This window comes from Homo sapiens, chromosome 19 (genome assembly GCF_000001405.40).
Source record: "Homo sapiens chromosome 19, GRCh38.p14 Primary Assembly".
NCBI lineage: Eukaryota > Metazoa > Chordata > Mammalia > Primates > Hominidae > Homo > Homo sapiens.
In genome coordinates this window covers 47,966,552-47,992,704 of record NC_000019.10, presented here as the reverse complement: position 1 = coordinate 47,992,704, position 26,153 = coordinate 47,966,552, and the positions used below count along the sequence as shown (strand labels likewise).

The 26,153-nt window shown below is 41.6% G+C and overlaps 1 protein-coding gene across 2 annotated transcripts; it reads left to right on the top strand.

Annotated features, from left to right (window-relative positions):
• The first annotated feature begins 534 nt into the window (after positions 1-534).
• On the top strand, positions 535-25,447 carry BSPH1 (binder of sperm protein homolog 1). Of its 2 annotated transcripts, XM_017026118.1 has the most exons (7): positions 535-696; positions 11,764-11,784; positions 13,106-13,135; positions 15,201-15,332; positions 15,851-15,995; positions 24,496-24,593; positions 25,303-25,447. In XM_017026118.1, exons 1-5 carry the CDS (start codon positions 624-626, stop codon positions 15,991-15,993), a joined length of 399 nt encoding a protein of 132 aa, XP_016881607.1. In that variant the 5' UTR covers positions 535-623; the 3' UTR covers positions 15,994-15,995; positions 24,496-24,593; positions 25,303-25,447. The 2 variants fall into 2 exon arrangements, with proteins under 2 accessions (XP_016881607.1, NP_001121798.1); NM_001128326.2 differs by lacking the exon at positions 25,303-25,447 and having other exon boundaries at positions 24,496-24,659.
• The last annotated feature ends 706 nt before the right edge of the window (positions 25,448-26,153 follow it).

Genomic DNA, 26,153 nt, shown 5'->3' with positions numbered 1-26,153 from the left:
GCCTGTAATCCCAGCACTTTGGGAGGCCAAGGCAGGTGGATCACCTTGTTTGAGATCAGCCTGACCAACATGGTGAAACTCTGTCTCTACTAAAAATACAAAAATTAGCCAGATGTAGTGGCAGGCTTCTGTAATCCCATTTACTCGGGAGGGTGAGGCAGGAGAATCGCTCGAACCTATGAGTCGGAGGTTGCAGTGAGCCAAGATTGCACCATTGCACTACAGCCTAGGCAACAAGAGCAAAATTCTGTCTCAAAAAAAAAAGGAACAGTAACTAAGAACACGTTGGGTTTCAGAATTCAGGATTAATCTGATTTTTCTTTTTTAAATACTTTTATTTATTTATTTATTTATTTCATAGTTGGAAATGTAGGTGTCCATAAGGCTGCACCACTTGTTCCTCAGAACTTCAAAGCCATCTGCAGCCCATTAGGTTAATCACCAAGGGCCTCCAGAGAACAGTGGCCCACACTGAAGGTTTGTGGAGCATCAACAAAGGTGCTTATATTAGGGAAGCAAACCTGCTTTTCCAAGAAGCCTCCCTGGGCCTCTCCAGGGGATTCTTGAGCCCTGGCTGACAAAGACCAGGAAGATCTGAGATACCGGGAAGCCTGTGACTGCCCATGGGCTCCCTGATGCTTCTCTTCGTGGAAACGACGCGAAATTCCTCAGCTTGCATCTTCCCTGTTATTTTAAGTATTTCTTTTTCTATATTTCTTCCTATGCAAGGTAGATAGCTTAACTTTGGAGCAGAGTGAGAGCAAGGAAGGAGGGAGAAGGTGGGGATGAAAGATGAAAGAAGAGGAGGAAGGGGAAGAGGGGAAGGAGGAGGAAGGAGAAGAGGCAGGGAAGGAGGTGGAAGAGGGAAGAGGAGGAAGAGAGGAAGGAGGAGGAGGGGAGAAAGAGGGAAAGGGGGGAGAAGGGGGGAGGAGGTGAAGAAGGAAGAGGAGGAGGGAGAGAAGGAGGGGAATGAGGGAGAGTAGGAAGAAGGAGGAGGAGAGGAGGAGGGGAGAAAGAGAAGGAAGAGGAGGAGGGGGAGGAGGAGCAGACGGAGGAGGAGGGGAAGGAGGAGGAGGAGGGAAGAGGAGGAAGAGGGGGAGGAGGAGGAGGGGGAGACAGAGGGGAAAGAGAGGGAGGAGGAGGATGACCGGGAGGAGGGGAAGAAAGAAGAAAAGGAGGAGGGGAGGAAAAGGAGGGGGAGGAGGAGGAGAAGGAAGAGAAGAAGAAGGAGGAGGAAAGGAAGGAGGAGGAGGAGAGGAGAAGGAGAAGGGAGAAAAAGAATGAGGAGGAGGAGAAGGTGAAAAAGGAGAGGGACAAGGAAGAAGTGGGGAGGAGGGAAAGAGAGGAGGGACAGGGAGGGGAAGTGGTTGTGGTTAGTTCCAGGGGCTATAAAATCTTGGACATCAGCTGGTCGACCACGAGTGTCTGACAGGAGCATGGCCCGGCACATGGGGCTCCTGCTGGTTTGGGTCTGCCTGATTCGCGGTGTGGTCGGTGGTGTGGTCGGCGCTGTATTTAACGTTCTGGAAGAAGGTGAGGAGACAGGTGACCCTGGCTGGGACGGAGTCCTGCACATCGGCTGCTGTATGTAATCAAATCCCAGTCGCCATGGAGGGCAACAGTCTCCCTTGCTTTAGGTACCTTAAGAAAGAAAAAGATACTCTCCCTTCCATGTCAGAAACACAATCCATAGGTAAAGATTTTTTAAAAAATAAGAAAGTTCGGCTAATAAAATAATGAAAGACTAAGAATGTAAATTGGAAAATCCTAGTGACATGTTACTTGAAAACCATGTGTCTCCTCCCTTCATGCTAGGAGATTTTAAATGCCTCCTGCAGAGGTTTTGAAAATGAGACTAATTTTCATAAAGTCGATTTTATTCCTTTTCCAAAGTCGTGTTGCCTGTAACAATTATGAAGCGAAATAGAAAAATAAGAAGGGAATTCACTATGGATGCATCTGACAACGTTTGATGAGGACTAAGCATAGTTTCAAAAACAATTTTTTATGGAATGACCAAGAAGAATGATCTTGCAGATATTTCTTTTAAGTATTCTTCAGGACATCTTTGCATTAAAAAAAAATAACACTGCTTGCTATTTTTTTTTAAAGAACAGAAAAGAAAATATACTCCCAATGTAACTATGACCACTGCTTTCTTATCCACTAGAATTATTTTATACTTACTGAAAAATAACACTGTACTTGGCCACAGGTTTTTTTTTTAAATCAGACATCATGTTTGTAGATACATAAAAAGGAATATAGATAAGTGGAAAAAGGCAAATTAAGACGATCCTAAAGCTTCTCCGCTGTCAATGTCTGGTCTCCTAATTTATGGATGTCATATTTTTCCACATAATACTTGTGCTATTCAGAGCCTTACTGATGAAGCATTTCTTTTAATAATGCATCAGAGAATAAAAACTCATGGGCCCCGGGCTCGTTAGCCTGTATTTTAAATGATGTGGTGCTAGTCTACTTTTGATCTGCAGAACTGTTGCCTATTCACTATCTCCCTCTCTCTCCCTTGCAAGCATCTGCCTCCTGGACTTATTGTCTCTTTTTTTTTTTTTTTTTTTTTTTGAGATGGAGTCTTGCTCTGTCACCCAGACTGGAGTGCTGTGGCATGATCTCGGCTCACCGCAACCTCAGCCTCCCAGATTCGAGCAATTCTCCTGCCTCAGCCTCCCGAGTAGCTGGGACTAAAGGCACGTGCCACCATGCCCAGCTAATTTTTGTATTTTTAGTAGAGACCAGGTTCCACCATGTTGGCCAGGCTGGTCTCGAACTCCTGATCTTCGGTGATTCACCCACCTCAGCCTCCCAAAGTGCTGGGATTATAGGCAGGAGCCACCGCACACAGCCTATTGTCTCTTAAGAGTTTCTTTTGAGCTACTGAGTAGCAAACTGCAAGTTTTTGATGCTGGTCGAATTCAATACAGACAATAACAGCTGGGTCCCCACAGCAATCCGGCTTGCAGATAATAAGATGTCGTCACAAATAAGCGGAAGGTGGGAACTCATAGACATCTAGGGCTCAAAGTCTTGCTGGAGGCCATAGGCTAAGCTTCGTTGGAACCCAGAGATGCTGGAGGGAAATCTGGACTCCTGAGCTTGCCAGGAGCAGTCAAGTGGGACAGAGGAGGTGAAGGGAGTCCCAGTTCTTGATGAGTGGGGATGTATGAGAGCTCTCAGCTATGGTTCCTCCTCATCCTCATCAGAGGAGCACTACATTTTGGTGTTTTAGAAGCAGTGACAGACTGGGTGCGGTGGCTCACACCTGTAATCCCAGCACTTTGGGAGGCCGAGGCGGGCGGATCACAAGGTCAGGAGTTCAAGACCAGCCTGGCCAACATGGTGAAACCCCGTCTCTACTAAAAATACAACAATTAGCCGGGCATGGTGGCAGGTGCCTATAATCCCAGCTACTCAGGAGGCTGAGGCAGGAGAATCACTTGAACCCAAGAGGCGGAGGTTGCAGTGACCTGAGATCATGCCATTGCACTCCAGCCTGGGCAACAAGAGCAAGACTCCATCTCAAAATAATAATAATAATAATAATAATAATAATAATAATAATAATAATAATAAAACGGTGACTTGATAGGTTTGCTGGATGCACAGATGCAGAGACTAAATAGCATGAGCATCTCCACTCATGAGCATGTGATATGCACCCCCACCTCTTCCCACTAGTGCACGATCTAGTGGGAAGACAGAAGAGGAAACAGACCATGTGTATGGCACATGCTAAATCAGCTATACGCCTAGCCTGAAAAAGAAAAAATAATTGAATTGGCAAGACTTCACAAAGGACTTGATTGAGTGATCTTGTTCCAGGGCTAGGAATTTGCCATGTCCAACATGTAATTACTATTCCAACTTGATGGGTTGCCTAAGGGATTACATGGGAGTGGGGTCCCTTGCGGGGAGAACTGTCCAGGTGTGTAGACCCGGACATGCTTCGTGCACCCAGAACTCTGGGGTTTTCACTTTTGCCAGTTCAGGCTTTGGTGCGGTAGGACTGCCCACCAACCGATCGTTTGATGTCAACAAACGTTTGTGCTAAAATGTGAATCTTGCATTGCAAGAGCCATTATTATTTAAAGAGGATGAGGAGGAACCATGGCTAAGAGCTCTCATGCACCCCCACTCACCAAGAACTGAAGGCTCCTCTCGCCTCCTCTGTCCCACTCAACTCTGCTCCTGGCAAGCTCAGGAGACCAGTTTTCCCTCCAGCATCTCCGGGTTCCAACCAAGCTTAGCCTGTGGCCTCAAGCAAGACTTTGAGTCCTGGATGTCTGTGAGTTCCCACATCTGAAACAGGAGGATCGTGATTCTTGCTGACTCCCAGGGTTGCTGGAAGATTAAATGGGTTAGCATGCGTGACGCTCAGAACAGAACTGTTATCATTAAGTCATTATTACTACTATTATAGTACCAAAAGTACTATTACAGTATTAAAGAGGCAGGATAAGGGTTTGGATTTAGTAGTCGATACTCACAGAGTGAGTTTAACTACTTTAAACTTCTCATACAAGTGGAATCGTGCAATATTTGTCCTTCTGTGAATGGTTTGGTTCACTTAGCATAATGTCCTCCAGGTTCATCCATGTTACTGAAAACGGCAGGATTTTCTCTTTTTTTAATTTTTAAAATTTTTCTGATTTTGTAATTTTTATTTTTATTTTATTTTATTTGTTTTTGAGACAAGGGCTCACTCTGTCACCCAGGCTGGAGTGCAGTGGTGTGATCTCAGCACACTGCAACCTCCGCCTCCCGGGACTGAAGTAATTAATCCTCCAACTCAGCCTCCCAGTACGGGAACCACAGGAGCACACCACCATGCCCAGCTAATTTTTTTGTAATTTTGGTAGAGATAAGATTTCGCCAAGTTGCCCAGGCAGGTCTCAAACTCCTGAGCTCAAGCGATCTGCCCACCTCCGCCTTCCAAAGTGCTGTGAGCCACCACACCCAGCCCTGCCTAAAGGTTCTTTGATCAAGGTTGTTTTGACCTAAGGGCAGGATCAATAGTAAAGACAAGCTCTGGCCATGCATAGTTCAAGGTGGGAGGATTGCTTGAGCCCAGGAATTCGAGACCAGCCTGGGAAACATAGTGGGACCTAGTCTCTACAGCAACTTTTGAAAATTAGCCAGCTATGGTAGTGTGTGCCTGTAGTTCCAGCTACTTGGGAGGCTGAGGCAAGAGAATCACTTGAGCCTGGGAAGTCAAGCCTGCAGTGAGCTATGACAGCGCCACTGTACTCCAACCTGGGTGACAGAGTGAGATTCTGTCTCCAAAAAAAAAAAAAAAAAGTAAGTACTAAGTACATGTAGTACGTGTTCTTACACAAAGAACAGTAGATAAAATAGAAATTGTAGGGACATTCCGAGGACGGGGTTAATCAGAAACCAACACGGCGAATTAGCACCCAAGACAGAGGTGTTTTAGCCTCCACAAACTGGATTGTCTAGTGACACTCAAATTCTTCGTCTTCATCCTCACTGTCTGGGGTTGCATTGCATAGTGTCCTTCCAGAATTCATGTTTACCAGAGATCTGTGAATATGACTGTATTTGAAATAGGTCCTTGCAGATGTCGGTAATTAAGATGTAGTCACAATGGATACGGGTTGGCCCTAATCCAATGACTGGTATCTTTATAAGAAGAGGAAACAGACACACACAGGGAAGACAAGCACGCATAGTCACAAGAAAAGATTAAAGTGATGCTGCCACAAGTCACAGAATGCCACAGCTTGCCAGCAGCCACCAAAAGCAAGGAGAGAGGCATGGAATAGTTTCTGCCTCTGAGCTCCTAAGAAGGAACCAACCCTGGCATTTTGGCCTTCTGGCCTCCAGATCTGTGAGACAATAAATGTCTATTGCTCTAGACCAAACAGTCTATGGTACTTTGTCTAGATTTTTTTTATTTTTATTTTATTTTATTTTATTTTTAGATAGGGTCTCATTCTGTCACCCAGGCTGGAGTGCAGTGGCACAATCACGGCTCACTGCAGTCTTGACCTCCCAGGCTCAAGTGATCCTCTTGCCTCAGCCTCCCAAGTAGCTGGGACTACAGGTGCACGCCACCATGCCCAGCTAATTTTTGTGTCTTTATTTATTGCAGAGATGGGGTCTTGCTATGTTGCCCAGGCTGGTCTCGAACTCCTGGGTTCAAGCAGTCCTCCTGGCTCAGCCTCCAAAAGTGCTGGGATTACAAGCGTAAATCACCATGCCTGACCAGTAAAATTCTACAGCACAAAACCAAGGAAGAAGCAATCACAGAGGCCACGCGGCTCTCCTGTCTGGGGGATGAGCCTCCCATGGTTTGGTACCCAAGGACCCCAACTCCTCCCCATTCATTGTTATTGCTCTTCACCAGTGCTCTTCCAGGCCTTCTGACATTCTCTAGATTCGTAAGTTTTGTCTTCTATCTTGTGCTGTATTCCATTGAACATAGAATGGAACAGCAAGTGCAGCACTTTGGGAAGACTCCTGACCCAGCTCTTGAACCCAAACAAGAATCTTGGCCAAGTTAGGATCGTAGGACTACCATGTAGCAGGCTACAGCAATTCCCCACGATAGGGAGGCCACTGCAGCTTTTTTTCCCTAGTCTGTTCGACCAGCTTCCCCAGACTCCTCCCTCCTCTGGGGCTCCGTAGCTTGGAAGAATAAAGTCTGATAAACTATATCCTCCTGCGGGCAACTGCAAGAATGCCAATATATGCTGTTGACGATGCTGAAATTCACTGCTCATCCTCTGGAAAAGTGATCGGGTTCAGGGGACTTCATAAGCTCCTGAACACATTTCACATGCTTTCATTTTATTTACATTCACTTATTCTTTTCCTTTTTTTTTTTTCTAGACAAAGTCTTGCCCTGTCACTCAGGCTGGAGTGTAGTGGTGTGATCTCAGCTCACTGCAACCTCCACGTCCCAGGTTCAAGTGATTCTCCTGCCTCAGCTGCCTCAGTAGCTGGGATTATAGGCGCACACCACCATGCCCAGCTAATTTTTGTATTTTTAGTAGAGACAGGGTTTCACCATGTTGGCCAGGCTGGTCTCGAACTCCTGACCTCAGGTGATCTGCCCGCCTCGGCCTCCCATAGTGCTGGGATTACAGGTGTGAGCCACCATGCCGGGCCTACTTACTCTTTTTCTAATGTGCTTCCTCTCTTTATATCTCTGAAGAACTTTTAACATTTCTTTCAAGGCAGGTTTTCTGGTAGCAAATTCCCTCAATGTTTGTTTGTCTGAGAATCTTTGTCTTTCTTTCTCCTTCACTTCTGAAGAATAATTTTGCAGGGTACAGAATTCTAGATTGAAGACTTTTTTTTCTCTCAACACTGTAAATGCTTCATTCTTATCTTCATGGTTTCTGGAAAGAAGTTGGACATAATTCTTATCTTTGCTTCTCTGTAGGTAAGGTATTTTTCCCCCTCTGGCTTCTTTCAAAAGATTTTTCTTTTAAAAAATTTTATTTTAGATGCAGGAGGTACATGTGCAGATTTGTTACATGAGTATGTTGCATAAATGGTGAGGTTTGGGATTCAATTGAAGCCATTACCCAAATAATGAACATAGTGCCCAGTAGGCAGTTTTCTTTTTCTTTTTCTTTCTTTTTTTTTTTTTTTCAGACAGAGTCTTGTATTGCCCAGACTGGAGTGCAGTGGTGCGATCTTGGCTCACTGCAACCTCTGCCTCCCAGGTTCAAGCGATTCTCCTGCCTCAGCCTCCTGAGTAGCTGGGATTACAGGCGCCCACCACCATGTCCGGCTAATTTTTAGTAGAGACGGGATTTCATCATGTTGGCCAGGCTGGTCTTGAACTCCTGACCTCATGATCAGTCCACCTCAGCTTCCCAAAGTGCTGGGATTACAGGCATGAGCCACTGCACCCGGCCATCAATAGTTGGTTTCCAAGCCTGGGTCCCCTCCTTACCTCCCCACTTTTGTAATCCCCAGTGCCTATTGTTCCCATCTTTGTGTCCCTGTGCACCCAATGTTTAGTTCCCACTTATAAGTGAGAACATGTGGTATTTGGTTTTCTGTTTCTGCACTAATTTGCTTAGGCTAATGGCCTCCAGCTGCATCCATGTTGCTAAAAAGGACATGATTTTGTTCTTTGTTATGGCTGCATAAAACAATTTCGATTTGGGTTTAACTGAAAAAATGAGACTCATTTTTATTTCAAATAAGGGTATTTTTAAAACCTTATATATTATAACAGAATTTAGCTTGAATTATGACCAAAGGTGAATTCTTGAGAATGAAAAGAATTGGGATGCAGGACTTTCCTGACAAAATTGTTACGATTTTCCAGTGCATAGCTTTGTCTTCTTCCATTCTACACTTTCCTCAAAGGGTCATAAAGAAAGCCAGTTTTGTATAAGTATTCTAAGACTAATTCTAGGACTATATTAATTTTTAGGGGCCCTTCTTAATCCTTTGAATTTAAAAATATATAATATATATATTTATATTTTATGTATAATATACATATTATATATATTTATATTATATATATATATATATTTTTTTTTTTTTCTTCAAGCCAGGCATGGTGGCTTACACCTGTAATCCCAGCACTTTGGGAGGCCGAGGTGGGTGGATCACCTGAGGTCAGGAGTTTGGGACCAGCCTGACCAACATGGCAAAACCCTGTCTCTACTAAAAATACAAGAATTAGCCAAGTAAAAATACAGGTGGTGGTGCACACCTGTAGTCCCAGCTACTTGGGAGGCAGAGGCAGAAGACTCCCTGGAACCCAGGAGGCAGAGGTTGCAGTGAGCCGAGATCGTGCCACTACACTCCAGCCTGGGTGACAGAGTGAGACTCCGTGTCAAAAAAAAAAAAATTTCTCTTCAAAGCCCTTATGGAGTTACAATATGTGCTCTTTTTAACTTTGTTGTATCACTGTCATTAAATTCATACATTCTTGCATCTTTCACAAAGTGACCGGCTTCATTTTGTAGTCCACTTGCTTTGCAGTTGCATTGTACTTGCAAGGTATTTTTTGAAACATAACATCCCAACATTCACAACAAATGATCCACCAGGTGGATGGCAGAATTTCTGGTGTTAATCAGAGTGGGACGTTTGAGTGGGGACTCATAATTTTATAGCACCGAGGATGGTGCACTGTGTTTATGATATGGGGATGTTGCATTCTGATGCTTACCTGGTGATACCTGTTCTAAGATCATAGTGCTTAGCAGACAGGCTATGTTGGAATCACTCGTCTGTATCTCCCCATTCATGAAATCAGGCCTATCATGATCCTCAAAACCAAAATCCATTTCCTAATAGTTTCACTATGGAATGCATACTGAATGAACCCAACAAATCCAGGAAGTAGAAACAATTATAATCCCCATATTTCAGAGAAAGACAAGCTTAACTCCTGATGAGTCCATTGATCTTGGATTCCCACCTGAATCTCATGGTTTCTGTAGTCCAGAGTCTACCATTTCAGCCACTCCCTTTTTGGGTAGCCCAGAACCTAGCACTAGGCTGGGCACATAGTAGGCATTCAATCCATATTTGTTGTCTACATGAGTGGGTTGATGGACTGGCTGAATAAATGCAGATCCCTTCATCGTGAGATCTTCCCTATATACTGGAACCAGTGCACAGTTCAGTGGCATTCAATGCATTCAAATTGTGCAATCTATCTCCAGAGCCTTTTCATTGTCCCAAACTGAAACTCTGCACCCATTAAATAATAACTCCCCATTCCTCCCTCCCTCCAGCTCCTAACAACCACCATTCTGCTTTTTGTCTCTATGTATTTGACTATTCTAGTTACCTCATATAAGTAGAATCATATAATATTTGTCTTTTTGTGTCTGGCTTATTTTACTTAACCTAGTATTTTCAAAGTGCATCCATGTGGTGGCATCTATTCAAATTTTGTTCCTTTTTAATGCTGAATAATACTCCATTGTATGTGTCTACCATATTTTCTTTATTTACTCATTTGCTCACGGACATGTGGGTTCTTTCCACCTTTTGGCTATTATGAATAATGCTACCATGAACATGGGTTTACAAATATTTGTTTGAGTCTCTGCTTTCAATTATTTTGTATATATACCCAGAAGTGGAAGGGATCTGGGTTTTTAAAAACTCAGCTGGTGATTCTAATATGCAACAAAGCTTGTGAACCATTGTGCTGGTCCATTATGACTATTTCTTAAATAAGATGTGCCTAAGGAAAAACGTTTTAATTTCAAGCCACAATGGCAGCCAGGACAATTTAGCTGAAAAACAAACTTGTGGAATGAATAAACACGAGCAAATAGCAAAATCGTCAGTAATAAATGAAATATACACAACAAATTCAGAATTAAAATCATTGCTTTTGCAAAAATCTTTTCAAAAAATAAAAAATTAAGTCATTGCTCTTTCAAGTGTAATCCACAAATTTGATGAACTAGTTATGAACACAGAATATGTCGAGTTATAATGCTTTAATATGAGAGATATCTGCTAATTACATTATAATACGTGGATGTTCTCTTAACCAAACATGACATTTGTAAATTTACTTGTTGGTAAATTGTGCTTTTCTATCTGACATCATCTTAATGGTTATTAAGCATCATCTATTACGGGCTATTTGGGAAAAAATCAAATTTTTCACTCTATATTTATTCTACAATTCATTCTATGTTGTATTTCATCCTAAAGTTATGACTGTTCTTAAAGCCTCAATTAAATGAACTTTGTAACAGTTATGTAATATTTAACTAAAACATGCTGGTTTTAAATCAAATAGCCTTTGCCTAAAATCACTTCATCAGGAACCATGCAAAGTAACAAAACAAAAAATTCAAGTTCTAAGGAGGGGGAGGTAAATATTACAGGTTGAATGGCTCATGAAGGAACAATGGTTGAAAAATGCTGCTTTAAGAAAAAAAAAAAGTAAAGCTATCAGGCAGTTTCCTTCATTCCAAGAATATTAGGATATTCAAACTGGGGAGGACTTGACATCCTAATGTTCTCTCTCCATTTTACAGCAGAGTAAACTGAGGGCAGATGGTTGGTAAGTGGTTGAGCCTGTGCCAGGGTTTGGGCCGTTACTTCCTACTGAACCAACCCCTCCGGGGGGATTCAAATTGAATTGCCATATGCTTAACTTTTTTAATTTAATGGAACCTAACATTTCTGAACTTTATCTCTAAGATGATGGAAACAATGCCTGCCTCACAAAATTGTTCTGATAAGTTAAATAAAATATAGTGCCCAGGATAGAGAAGACGTTCAGAGCATTTATTTGCATTTCCTACATACCTCAGAGGTATCATTCTTATTTTTCCCTCCTAGAGGAAGAGGTTTCCATTTTGAAAGTGGCAACTCCAAAGACATGAATCTCTAATAGTAGAATTCAGGTATTCAGTGAGAAGTGGTGACAGAAATAAAAACCTATAGTGTTCATATCAGAAACCTATGATGAAGTGGTTTATTTTATAGAAAAATGTGAGAAAAGTAAATCATTTCCTTTGCCTGCTGAATTTTTTGTTTTAAAAATAATTTTAATCATTCCTATCCTTTAATAATATTTGAAAAATACAATTAAAGCAAAAGGAAAGTAAGAAATCACCCACAATCACACTACTAAAAATAAGCTCTATTGAACTTTGATGTCTAACTTTCAAAATAGTATTATTCTTACTAGAATAGAAATTGGTGAAATCCTTTCATCTCTTTTATTTTAAAGTGACATAAATATTTGTTCAAAATTGTGTTTTTCAGATGAATTATCATCAACTGTGGGTGAGTTGATCAAAAAACTTTTATTAGCGTTTCTTTTCAAATTTTTGCAATAAAATGTGAAACCATTGAGTATTCCCTTTCCTGGTAAGAAATCATACTTTTCATTAAAGATTACTATTTTATGTACTTATATATAAAGTAAATTTCATGTTAAAAATGTTAAGAAAAAAGAAGAAGAGTCCCAGCACTTTGGGAGGCCGAGGCAGGGGGATCACGAGGTCAGGAGATCGAGACCATCCTGGCTAACAAGGTGAAACCCCGTCTCTACTAAAAAACTACAAAAAATTAACTGGGCATGGTGGCGGGCGCCTGTAGTCCCAGCTACTCCCGAGGCTGAGGCAAGAGAATGGCGTGAACCTAGGAGGCGGAGCTTGCAGTGAGCCGAGATCACGCCACTGCACTCCAGCCTGGGTGACAGTCTCAAAAAAAAAAAAAAAAAAAAAGAAAGAAGAAGAGGAGATAAATCATAATTTTACTGTTAATTTTACTTTTGGGTGATTAAACATGTCATTACATGTAACTTCATAATGTGATTTTTAGCAAAAATCAAGTATTCTGGAAAAGAAGGAAATAGAAAATGCCTTTTGCCACCTAAAAATGAAGTACAAATTTTTCCGTATCTATTTATATACTCATCTTTATTAATGCCTACTTGATATTATAAAGCCAATTTCATTTTAAAATTCCCTCAGGGATGAATATTTTTTAATTATTATTTTTAATCTAATACTAATCATGCTGAAATAAACATTCTTAATCTAAGTGTCATACCAATTAAAACTAGGAAAGCACAGGGGTGTTACATTAACACTATTTTAGGTTCTAACATAAGTGATATTGTAGAAAGGACAAACTCTATATAAAATAACAGGCAAAATTATTTTATGATTGTATACCTTAAATCCCTAAGAACATGAATAAAAATTATTAGTTTTAATAAAGTAATATGGCTATGTGGCTGGATGCAAGATAAACATACAACAGTCAATAGTTTTTCTCTATACTGATAAGAACCAACTGGACATTGATGGAAATGGAAAACATTCTGTTTAACATCAGTGACCAAAAAAAAGCACTTTGGAATTAAATTTGTGAGAAATGTGTAGGATTTATATAGAATAAATAAGAAAATCATATTGAAGAGCAAAAAAATACATTTTGAAAAAGAGCAGATGCCATGTTCTTGGATGGAAAACATAATGCCATAACAATATCACTTTTTCCTAAACTAACATTTTTATTTAATTTTATTTTACGTAAGAGCCCATTTTAAAGCCTAATAATAGTGAAATAAATGTCAGCTCTAAATTTTATTTTTCAGAAACTATAACTCATTTTCCAGAAGTTACAGGTAAGTCGATCAGAAAACTTTGATTATTAATGTATATTTTCTTTTAATTTTGTAAAAGTGAGGAAATCAGTAATGTTTTTCCAGTAAAAAAAATCATTTTTTCTCCTTATATAAAATGTAACATAAGTGCCTCATAAACAGATAAAGAAAACAGAGGTATAGAAGTCACTCTGAACTTTCATCAGCACTAAATGTGTCTACTCTTTAATTTCTGCCAATCTAACAGGAAATAATAGATTTTAAAATTTATATAGAAAAACATCCAATAATAATTAGAAGTATGAACAAAGTGCTGTAGTAGAGAAATATTTTGTCTCATCAGATATGTAGACATACTAAAATATTGTAATATAAGCAACATGGAATCAGCCTAGAAAAATGGAAGAGGAGGAGGAGGAGGGAGGAAGGAAGAAGAAGAGGAAGAAGAAGAAGGAGGAGGAGAAGGAAGAGGAGAGAAGAAAAGAAGAAATATTTTGTGATGCTTGCTGGCTCCAGAGCCTGCTCATTTTACCACCATGCTTCCTTACCTCTCTAATAATTTCAAGAAACTTTATAGAAAATATAGAATGGATCCCAGGATATATTAGAATAATCCATGGTTTTAAACATGATTGTTTAAATGTACAGGTGATTTATTTCATCATCGATCTGTCATTACTAAATATGTTTGAAAGAAAATAAAGTTGCATTGCCCTTTGGCATCATATACAAAACTAAATTCTAGCTTAATCAAATTTTAAATGTAAAAGGAACAAAATTGTTTAATTTAAGAAGAAAATGGAAAATATATGTATGGCCTAAAGACCAGTAGATCTTTTAAAGCAAGGCAGAAATCTTCTGTAATACAGGTAAACATTTTTAAAGTGTGTAAATGCTTCGTGCTAATGAAAATTCAGGTAAAGGAGCACAATTGGTGGGAAAGACTAATTGCCATTTTCCTTTGACAAAGCAATATTCATCAATGTTAAAATTGTATATACATTGTGTCCTTGCAACCTTGCTTTGGGGATTCTATAGAAACAAATGCTTCAATACATAAGGACTTAAATATGTGAAATGTTTACTACAGCTGTATTTACAGTAGGAAAAATCTGAATGTGGAAATACTGAATAAATTGTGTTGAATCCATATCACAGAACATGAATCAGCATTAGAAAGAAGTTAAGGCCGGACTCAGTGGCTCATGACTGTAATCCCAGCATTTTTGGAAGCCGAGGCAGGAAGATGCTTGAGCTCAGGAGTTTGAGACCACCCTGGCCAACATAGTGAGATCTCATCTCTACAAAAAATTTAAAAATTAACTGGGCATGGTAGCACGCACCTGCAGTCCCAGCTACTCCAGAGGTTGAGGTGGGAGGATTGCTTGAGCCCAGGAGGATAAGGCTGCAGTGAACCATGAAGAAGTTAGGGCTACACAATCACTTTAAGAAGATTTCTGTGATGTGTTAAGTCGGAAACTCAAGTATAAAATATGATTCATTTTGAAGGGTAGCAAAAAATTATGTATGTGTGCCTGTATGTGTGTATGCACCTATAACTATATATATATATATATATATATATATATCCTGTATTAACCATACAGCATATATACAAAACCATATAACATATATAAGTATATATATAAAACCATACAACACAGATATACCCAGGTGACACACATACACACATGTATAGTTGCATGGGAGAGGGAGAGAAAGAGAGATGACGGAAAGAGGTAAAAATAAGAGATCCAGGGGCAGGGGGGAAGAATTGTTGGGTAGATAAATGCCCACATTTATATTTCTACGCTTAGGAGAGATTTCTGAAACTGGGGCAAATGCTAAGCAAAATTTTGAGACTGTTTATAACCTGGAAAAGAAGTAGGGCAGGGGCAGGAATATAAAACAAAAGAGCTTTGTCATTAGAGAGCCAAAGCTCTGCTATTGAGTAGCACAATAACATTTACTACAGCCACAGCCAATGACTCTGATTTCAAAGGGCAACAGCGCCTAGGAAGACAGTCGCTTGATAACCTCTCTCCTAACACACCCAGAAACAGAGGAAGAATTTTGTTTTCTCTAGATGGGGAGTGTGTCTTTCCATTCCACTATAAAAATGGAACATATTATGACTGCATCAAGTCCAAGGCAAGACACAAGTGGTGCTCGTTAAACAAGACCTACGAAGGATACTGGAAGTTTTGCAGTGCAGAAGGTGAGTGTCCTGTCTCTAAATACCTCAGAGCAGTAATCTTGGTCTCTGAGGCTGGGATCTGAGGCAAAACACAAGAGGGTTCTGAAAATAGAATCCATAGCCAATTAAGTTGTGAAAATAAAGGATGTTCGATTTCTGACGATATAAAAATCACATTGCACCATAGATATGTTATGAGCATTTCAACCACATTATTTTGAAAAGAATCTTTTTAATAGAACAGCAAAGTGATGTGGGATCTGAATCCCCCACCAATATTGTTCCCATGTGCCTTTGGTGAAATAGGGCAGAGCAGATGATACTGAATAGGAAGCAAAAGTGTGTATTTGCGCGTGTGTGTGTGAGCGCACCAGTGTGCATACATGTATGTCTGTGTGAGTGTGCATGTGTATGTGTGCACATTTGTTCACGTGCATGCACATGTGTGCATATGTGTGCATGTGTGTGCATGGTGTGGTGGAGGTGGGTGCAAATTAGAAAGGTTTCTTACTCTGCTTCTTCCTCTTCCTCCTCTGCAGATTTTGCAAACTGTGTATTTCCCTTCTGGTACAGACGCTTGATCTACTGGGAGTGTACTGATGATGGGGAAGCATTTGGGAAAAAATGGTGTTCACTGACCAAGAATTTTAACAAGGACCGAATTTGGAAATACTGTGAATGATGGTGAGATTTACCAGGGGAGGGGGATGAAGACGTTTAATCATTCTCCTTGGAAAGAACCTAGAGTTTTTGTTGGCAGAGGAGAACCCTTTCTCATTAGAGAGGGTTTTTTTTTGTTTTTTTTTTTTTTCTGGGATGTGAGTTGAAGGTGATCTAACTATAAATAACTAGAGGTTTTCGATTCAGGATTATGGGGTTTTAATATGGAAATCTGTAGTTTAGCCTCAGCACTTTAATTGCTAACTGTGTAAAATTAGTCCCTTTTAAAAATTAAGTCTATGGGGTAGGCGTGGTGGCTTATGCCCATAATCCCAGCGCTTTGGGAGGCCAAAAAGGAAGGACTGCTTGAGGCCAGGAGTTCAAGACCAGCCTGGACCAACATAGCAAGACCCCGTTTCTACAAAAGAAAAAATTTAAAAATGTAACTAGGCATGGTGGCACACACTTGTAGTCTCAGCTACTCGGGAAGCTGAGGCAGGAGAATCACCTGAGTTCAAGAGTTCAAGGTTGCATTGAGTTGTGATGAAAGAGAGACCCACCTCTAAAATAAAATAAATGAAGTAAAATAAGCTTATGGATTTTGGGTGATAGTGATGTGTCAATGTAGATTCATCAATTGCAACAAATGTTCCACTCTGGTGGAGGATATTGATAACACAGTGGCTATGTGTACATGGAAATTTTTATACCTACTACTCAATTTTTCTGTGACTTAAAACTGCTCTAAAAAATAACGTGTATTAAAAATGCATTACCTTGGCCGGGCACGGTGGCTCACGCCTGTAATCCCAGCACTTTGGGAGGTCGAGGCGGGTGGATCACGAGGTCAGGAGATCGAGACCGTCCTGGCTAACACGGTGAAACCCCGTCTCTTCTAAAAATACAAAAAATTAGCCGGGCGTGGTGGCGGGTGCCTGTAGTCCCAGCTACTCAGGAGGCTGAGGCAGGAGAATGGCGTGAACACGGGAGGCGGAGCTTGCAGTGAGCCGAGATCGCACCACTGCACTCCAGCCTGGGTGTCAGAGCGAGACTCCGTCTCAAAAAAAAAAAAAAAAAAAAAAAATGCATTACCTTAATAAAGAATATTTCTAAAACAGAAAAAAAGTGATAACTGAGGTGATACCTGAGGTAGGAATACAGGTGTGGAGATAAAGTACCAGAGTGAGGTTTAAAAAGGGTCAGATATGAACCACACGAACAAGGGCAACAAAGATGGGTGCGCTGTACAAAGTGAGGGAAAGCCACTGGGGCTGGTCCATGGTGAGTGCCCTGGGAGCCAGGCAGTGGGCAAGCCAGCACTTGAGAGCTGGCTAAGTCCAAAGAGAAGCCACAGAGCATCGTTCGGTAAGCAGAATCTGGATACAATCCAATTTGATTATAGAGGCCAGGAGCGGTGGCTGACGCCTGTAATCCCAGCACTTTGGGAGGCAGAGGCAGAAGGATTGCTTGAGCCCTGGAGTTCGAGACTAGCCTGGGCAACATAGCAAGACCTCATCTCAAAAGGAAAAAAACATGAAAGGAAATAACAAAGAATAGTAGAGAGGAAATATCTGATAGAAGGCCCAGAGAAAAAAGGAAGAGATGGGATGATCCCAGGAGGAGGGAGTGGAGTCACCTTCGGTAGAAACTGGTCTTCCATTGTTACGAGGTATAAGAAAATGTAAGTGCATGTGGATATAAGCAGATTTGTAGATTTGAGGGGATTCATATGTGAGAGAGTTTTTTTTAATTGTATTTTATCAGGAAAGTAGTAGGAAAAGTAATCTTGTGACAATGAGAGGGATGGGTATAGTGGGGTAGGTGTGTCATGGTCATTGAAGAGAGTGGAGAGTGAGGTGACCAGAGAAATGTTGGAAGACGTCTGGCTAGTGTAGGGGGTTTGGTTGAGGTTAATGCGTCAGTCAGGAAGCTTACTGCACGCTCAAATTGGGTAGTTAGAGGAAACTGGAAACTATAGATAATAGTGCAGTATTCAGGGATAGTAAGAGCAATACCTAAACAGTGAGGGGAAGAGAAATTCCTGGAATTGAGAGCGTGGGAGAGCAAGGGAGGAAGAAAAAGGACAGAGATGGAGAGCAAGCGAGAGACAGAATAGGAGAGAATGGAAAGGAGGGAGGAGAGAGGGTCGGGTAGAAAAGAGAGAGGCCGGGCACAGTGGCTCACGCCTGTAATCCCAGCACTTTGGGAAGCTGAGGCAGGAGGATCACCTGAGGTAAGGAGTTTGAGACCAGGCCAGCCAACACGGCGAAACCCTGTCTCTACTAAAAATACAACAGTTAGCCAGGCGTGGTGGCCGGCACCTATAATCCCAGCTACTTGGGAGGCTGAGGCAGGAGAATCGCTTGAACCCGGGAGGTGGAGGTTGCATTGAGCCGAGATCGTGCCATTGCACTCCAGCCTGGGTGACAGAGCAAGACTCCATCTCAAAAAAAAAAAAAAAAAAGAGAGAGAGAGAGAAAGTGGCTGTGGAAGTGACCAATCCATGGGAGCCAAGGGAATTAATACCTCAACCTTCTTCCCTTTAATCTCCTGCCAGTGCATCCCATTGGTCAAGCCCAAGTAGAAAGCAAAGGGAAAGGAGCTCAGAGCAGAATGAGGGGTGGAGAGAGAGCCGGGAGGTGCATGCAGATAGCACTCAGCATGGCTGGGGAACATGAGTTTGTAATCCCACCAAACTAAATTATGAGATTTCACCACAGCTATACCTGCTCATGGGATCACACTGAGAAGGGCGATGTTTGGGTTTATTTCCAAGTGGGTGTTTGGTGGGTGTGGGAGAAGAACAGAGTGCTAAGGATAGAGTATGTGCAAAAGAAAGATCATAAGGATAAACGTGGAGCCAGAAGTGAACAAACAGCAAAGAAAAGATGGCAGTGAATGAAAGGAGAAGCAGGTAGAGGCTCAGTAGATTGGAAGCTCCAACTGATTTTGACTTCTTCTTGCTGCGTCAGAGCAGTGGCGGGAACAAGAACAAGATGGCGCCCTCCCCGCGTGTACTTGGCTTGCTTATTTCTCTTGTAATACCCAATAATATCCAGGCAAACATTATCTTTCTTTTCTGGCTGAAAGGAAGGGTCCAATCTCTCAACAACCAACTGTTGTAGCAACCAGCAACTCTCAAATGTTGAACCAGAATTTCAACCAGCTTCCCCTTTCTCTTAACCTCAAAATATTTGCAGAATAAAATGGGAGCTGTACTTTTTATTGTCGTTATGAATGAAAAGTGTATGTGTTTGTGTGCACACATATGGATCCCCATGGAGGTGGAAGGACCACAGAGATGGATGAGTTGTCCTAAAATGAATTAATTGAGCGTGCTGGTGATTGATGAGATGGTACCAATAAAATGACAGGAGACTGTTCCCTAGAAGTGAGTAAAATATTCCAAATCTTTTATGAAAAACACAGAATCATGTAAAAACTACTGTCTCTGGCATGTTACTGCCTACATTATTATTATTATTATTATTATTATTATTATTATTATTATTATTTTGAGACGGAGTCTCGCTCTGACACCCAGGCTGGAGTGCAGTGGCGCGATCTCGGCTCACTGCAAGCTCCGCCTCCCAGGTTCACACCATTCTCCTGCCTCAGCCTCCCGAGAAGCTGGGACTACAGGCGCCCGCCACCACGCCAGGCTAATTTTTTGTATTTTTAGAAGAGACGGGGTTTCACCGTGTTAGCCAGGATGGTCTCGATCTCCTGACCTCGTGATCCACCCGCCTCGGCCTCCCAAAGTGCTGGGATTACAGGCGTGAGCCACCGCGCCCGGCCGCCTACATTATTATAGGAAGACTTATTTACCAAATCTGGATATGCTCTCAATTACGTACGTGTGGGGGTGGGGGTGGGGATGTGTGTGTGGGTATACACACACACACACACGCATATATAGGAAGGAAATAAAACTGGGAATTTTTTAATTTTTTAAAAATTACATTAAAAAGAAATACTATGCTATTTTAATATATTAAAATAAACACTCTCTCCACCTCAGCTTCAATATTCTAATTCCACACATCCGAGGTAACCATTGTGAAGAATTTTCTATTTCCAATTTCTATTTAAAATCCAGCTCTATATAACTACCTTAAAGAATACAGTAAGATATTTGGTTCACGTAACTATATCAAGGTTATAAGCAAACTAATGCAGGAACAGAATACCAAATACTGCATGCTGTCACTTATAAGTGGGAGCTGAGCATTGAGAACACATGGAGAAAAGAAAAGGACAACAGACACCAGGGCCCACTGGATGGTGGAGAGTGGGAGGAGGGAGATGATACAAAAATTACCTATAAAGCACTATGTTTATTATGTTGGTGATGAAATAATATGTGCGCCAAAGCCCTGTGACACACAATTTACCTGTATAATAAACCTGCACATGTATCCTGAACCTAAAAGTTAAAAAAAAAAAAAAAAAAGAATATCAAGGTTAGCATGGGACAACTGGAATCAAGCATTCAGTCTGCCAACCTCAATGAGGTAAGACTTTCAACACCACTCCCTTGTTAAATTGTGAAATCTAGCAGATTTTAGATTCCACTCACCGTTTACACATGTTGAAGACGAGGAAAGTGCCAATTATCTTCCGATTTAATAGAGCAAACCCCAGGTATTTATCTTGTTTAGGAATGCAGAGACATCAATTACAACCAGCGAAGCAGATGAACAAGTATGAAAAACAGTCAGAATAACTTTTTCTTCAAAGACTATGAACATAGGACAGAACAAAAATTTCTAAAGACTTTTCAGTATTCCAAAACCTTTTTATTCAAATTATATTTCCAAGGCTTTGACAATGAACAAGACACATTGGTAACAGATATTAATGTTATTATAAATCTCCTTCTTGCACAATAAAACAAGACGCGTGTTCTTAGGAGTGCTCTCAATTAATAAAGAAGGAATTTAGTATGAATGGATGCTATGCTAAAAATTAGGGCAATAAAATATTAAGTGACAGACAGTCTGTTTCAGATTGGTAGGCCAGCTATGTGAAGATCCAGTGAAAGGTTATCTGGGGACAGTGAGAACATCAAGTCAAAGTTCCTAATGCAGGAACAGGTGTGGCATATTGAGGACTAGAACAAGAGAAATATGGCTATACTATAAAAAATGAGAGGGATTCGGTCAAAGAAGACCTTTGATGAGTCTGTGCAGACAATAAAATCTCTTTATTTTAAAAGACAGAATACAGGCTGGGTGCGGTGCCTCACGCCTGTCATCCCAGCACTTTGGGAGGCCGAGGCGGGCAGATCACCTGAGGTCAGAAATTCGAGACCAGCCTGGCCAACATGGTGAAACCCCATCTCTACTAAAAATACGAAAACTAGCTGGGCTTGGTGGCATGCGCCTGTAATCCCAGCTACTCCGGAGGCTGAGGCAGGAGAATCGCTCGAACCCAAAAGGCGGAAGTTGCAGTGAGCCGAGAGATCATGCCACTGCACTCCAGCCTGGAAGATAGAGCAAGACCCCATCTCAAAAATAATTAATTAATTAATTAAACGATAAAATACAGAGAATTAGTGGCTCACAAAATCGCTGGAAAGGTAGGAAGAGCCAAAGCAGGGACGGTCCCAGTGATAATGCTTTAGAGATCCCAACACCATGGCTGTGGTTCAGAAGTCAGGAAGTTGCCACTGCTGAATCCATTGGTGCCACCACCATATTTTTCTCCCTGTATCAGTTAGCTATTCACAATGCTGCTGCATAACAAACCACCCTCAAAATAATAAGCATTATTTTTGTAACCATGCATTCATGGGTCAGCTAGGATTTGTCTGATTTAGGCTTAGTTCGGCTCTGAGATGCAGATTTTTCATCCTCCCATAAGGAGCGACTACCTGAGCCATCCTCTTCTCATGACTAAAGGCAGAAGCACAAAGACTGAAGAAACACATTTAAAATGACCGCTTGTATCCATCCTGCTAACATCCCATTGCCACATCACGGCACATGAACAGGTCCACTATTAATAGGACAGGGAAGTAAATTCTGCTCATGGTAGGAAGAGGAGAAGGGTATTTGGTAAACAATAACCAAAATAATCACAGCCCACCTGTTCATCACTATTATTCATGTTTATTCCACATGCAAGTCAATCTAGCCAACATCCCAAGAGTGCCCAAATCTCATCGGGACACAGCATTAGGATCTTGCGATCCGCATCAAGTCAACCTTTGTACTATCCTTATTTGGAGACTTCTGAACTAAAAATACACATTTTAGTCCTTTTCCCCAACATATCATGATACAATGTTGGGACAGAAATAGGATAACAACAACCAACCCACATATCTGAAAAAGAGAAGAATAAGACACTGGTCTCATAAATTCTAAAGTTGACCAGGCGCAGTCGTTCATGCCTGTGATCCCAGCACTTCGGGAGGCTGACGTAGGTGGATCACTTGAGGTCAGGAGTTTGAGACCAGCCTGGACAACATGGTGAAGCCCAGTCTCTACTAAAAATACGAAAATTAGCTGGGTGTGTTAGTGCGCACTTGTGATCTCAGCTACTCCAGAGGCTGAGGTAGGAGAACCACTTGAACCCAGGAGGCGGAGGTTGCAGTGAGCCAAGATCGTGCCACTGCACTCCAGCCTGAGTGACAGAGTGAGACTCCATCTCAAAAATAAAATAAAAATAAAATAAAACAAAAATAAATTCTAAAGTCTCTCTCTCTCTCTCACACACACACAAACATAAATTCTAAAGTCTCTCTCTCACAAACATAAATTCTAAAAGTCTCTCTCAGAAACATAAATTCTAAAGTCTCTCTCTCACAAACATAAATTCTAAAGTCTCTCTCTCACACACACAAAAATAAATTCTAAAGTCTCTCTCTGTCTCTTACACAAACATAAATTCTAAAGTCTCTCTCTCACACACACACAAATAAATTCTGAAGTCTCTCTCACACACACACACAAATAAATTCTAAAGTCTCTCTCTCTCACACACACACATACATTCTAAAGTCTCTCTCTCTCTCTCTCTCTCTCTCTCTCTCTCTCTCTCTCCCCCTCTCCCTGCCTTACAGGTAGTGGCTTCTTCCTACAATCTGCTGTTCCTTAGGGTTCTTAAGATTCTCTTTATCCCTTCTAGTTAATACCCTTTCACCATTTATAATATATCCTTATATTACATTTTTCTCCATTTGAATTACAGGTGTCGTTTCTGTCTCCTGACTGAATCCTGAATGACACAGGAATCTTATAAAGCCTCATGACTTGAATATCCCCCATACATCATTGACACACAAATTTCTATTTCCAGTCCTGAGTTATCTCCTAAACCCCAAAAGCATATATCAAACTGGATAAAGGATCTGTTTACTTGGATGTTGAATAATCATGCAAAACAAAATAGAATCTCAATTCTGCTTCATATCCCCAGGCCAGGAACTCTGATAATCTTCCCATCTCATGACCATCCACCCATTTGCCCAGCCCCAAACCTAAGAGTCTGTTTTTACTCTTCTCTTTCCCATGTCTACCACGTCCAACTAATTTACAAGTTTTACCAAGACTGTCTTCAAAAAACGTGCCAAATCCATCTACTTGTCTGCAGGTGCACTGGTGTCACCAGCACCAGCCCCAACAACAATAGTCTCCAGGCTACTTTTACTGTTACCACTCACATCCTCCTAAAATCCACCCTCCAGGCAGCCGTCAGTGATTTCTTTTTTTTTTTTTTTTTTTAATCTGAGATAGGGTCTCGCTCTGTCGCCCAGGCTGGAGTGCAATGGTGTGATCTCGGCTCACTGCAACCTCCGCCTCCCATGTTCAAGCAATTCTCCTGCCTCAGCCTCTTGAGTAGCTGGGACTACAGGTGCACGCCACCATGCCCAACTAATTTTTTGTATTTTAGTAGAGACGGGGTTTCACAGTGTTGCCCAGGTTGGTCATGAGCTCCTGAGCTCAGACAATCCGCCCACCTCAGCCTCCCAAAGTGCTGGGATTATAGGCATGAGCCACTGTGCCTGGTCCATCAGTGATTTCTTTTTTTTTTTTTTTTTTTTTTAAGACAGGGTCTTGCTCTGTCACTCAGGCTGGAGTGCAGTGAGTTATGATCATGCCACTGCAGTGCAGTGGTGCCATCATAGCTCACTGCAGCCTCAAACTCCTAAGCTCAAGTCATCCTCCCACCTCAGCCTCCTAAGTAGCTGAGGCCACAAAAATTAGCTGGGCATGGTGGAACGTGCCTGCAGTTCCAGCTACACAGGAGGCTGAGGCAGGAGAATCATTTGAACGCGGGAAGCAGAGGTTGCAATGAGCTGAGATTGCAGCACTACATTCCAGTGTGGGAGACAGATACTCTGTCTCAAAAAAAAAAAAAAAAGAAAAAAGAGAGAGAGACTGATTTTATATGCAGAAAAGATGTGTGTCTCCACAGACTCCAGATCAGATGTTTTAGTACCTGGCAGAGAATGAGCAGGAAATGTTGGGGCAATCTGTGTCTGCTTTCTGATTTCTGCTTCTGTTCTTTGGGTTAGGTTTGCTTGCATCTGCTGGCTATCAGATACAGACAAAACATGATCGATGCATCCAGCAGTAATAATCTTCTTCCTGAAAGCCATGGATTCTTCAGCAGGTCAGAATGGTCTGATATACAGTAACCCCCAATTTTCTTAATAAAATAAAACTCTTTTTCTCCAGCATTTCTAGCAAAAGGGAAATCTTTGCAGGGAGAGTGATGAGTGGACATCAGAGTCCAGGCATCCATCCACTAAGATGCATCTTCCTTCGGGCACCTCACATTCACTGTGGTTCCTACCAACATGGTGGCCACAGGAATCAATGACTTCCCCTTCAATATCCTTTCTATGGGTTGACATATAACTTCTATTTCCAAGCAACACAGATGGAAGTAGGCTGTAATGTTCAAACAATACCTCAGAATTGGCTAGAGATGTTGTTATGGGCTGAACTGTGTCCTTTCCAAAATTCATATGTTGAAGCCCCAACCCCCAGGACCTCGGAATGCAACTGTTTTTGGAGAAAGGGTGTTTAGAGAGGCAATTAAGCTAAGATGAGGTATTCAGAGTAGGCACTAATCCAATATGACTGGTGTCCTTATAAGAAGAGAAAATTTGGACAGACAGAGAGATGCCAGGGATGTGTGTGCACAGAGGGGAGCCCTTGTGAGGACTAAGGGGGTGGCCATCTGCAAGGCAAGGAGAGACGCTTTGAGGAAACCAACCTTGATGTCACCTTGATCCTGTACTTCTACCCTCCAGAACAGTGAGAAAATAAATCTCTGTCGTTTAAGCCACCCCATCTGTGTTACTTTTTTATGGCAGCCCCAGCAAACTAATACAGAAGACAAAGGAGAAAGAAGACAGCAGCATGCAGCTTACTAGAAATGGCCAGTCTCCTATAACAAAGAATGAAATCGTATCCTTTGCAGCAACATAATTGCAGCTGGAGGCCATCTAAGTGAATTAATGCAGAAACAGAAAACCAAATACTGCGTGTTTTCACTTATAAGAGGTTGCTAAACAAACCTCATGAACATAAAAGATGGGAACAATAGACACAGGGGACCCCAAAAGCGGGGGGAAGGTGCGAGGAAAGGGTTGAAAAATTACCTGTGGGGTGCTATGTTCACTATTTGGGTGACGGCATCCATTGAAGCCCAAATCTCAGCATCATGCAATATATCTATGTCACAAACCTGCACACGTATCCCCTGAATCTAAAATTAAGTTAAATTAAATTTTAAATCATTAAACATCCATCGAGTCAAAAAAAGAAAGAAAGAAATGAAATGCCTGGTCTCTTGAGCCCTAGGCTTATCCCAGTGCTTTTTTTTTTTTCTTTTTTTTTCTTTTGAGATGGAGTCTCACTCTATCACCCAGGCTGGAGCGCAGTGGCATGATCTCGGGTCACTGCAGCCTCTAACTCCCAAGTTCAAGCAGTCCTCCCACCTCAGCATCCCGAGTAGCTGGGATTACAGGGGTGCACCACCGTGCCAGGCTAATTTTTTTGTATTTTTAGTAGACACAGGGTTTCACTATGTTGGCCAGGCTGGTCTCGAACTCCTGACCTCAAGTGATCTGCCCGCCTCAGCCTCCCAAAGTGCTGGGATTATAGGCATGAGCCACCGTGCCTGGCCCCAGTGCTTCTGAACTTTGATCTAGTTTACATTCAA

Bases quoted from the DNA above. Each gene is read 5' to 3' on its own strand.
- BSPH1 (XM_017026118.1), top strand. From the start codon at position 624: ATGGGCTCCCTGATGCTTCTCTTCGTGGAAACGACGCGAAATTCCTCA. The intron at 697-11,763 runs GTATTTCTTTTT...TGTGTTTTTCAG, and splicing joins CATCTTCCCTGTTATTTTAA to ATGAATTATCATCAACTGTG. The intron at 15,333-15,850 runs GTGAGTGTCCTG...CCTCCTCTGCAG, and splicing joins GAAGTTTTGCAGTGCAGAAG to ATTTTGCAAACTGTGTATTT.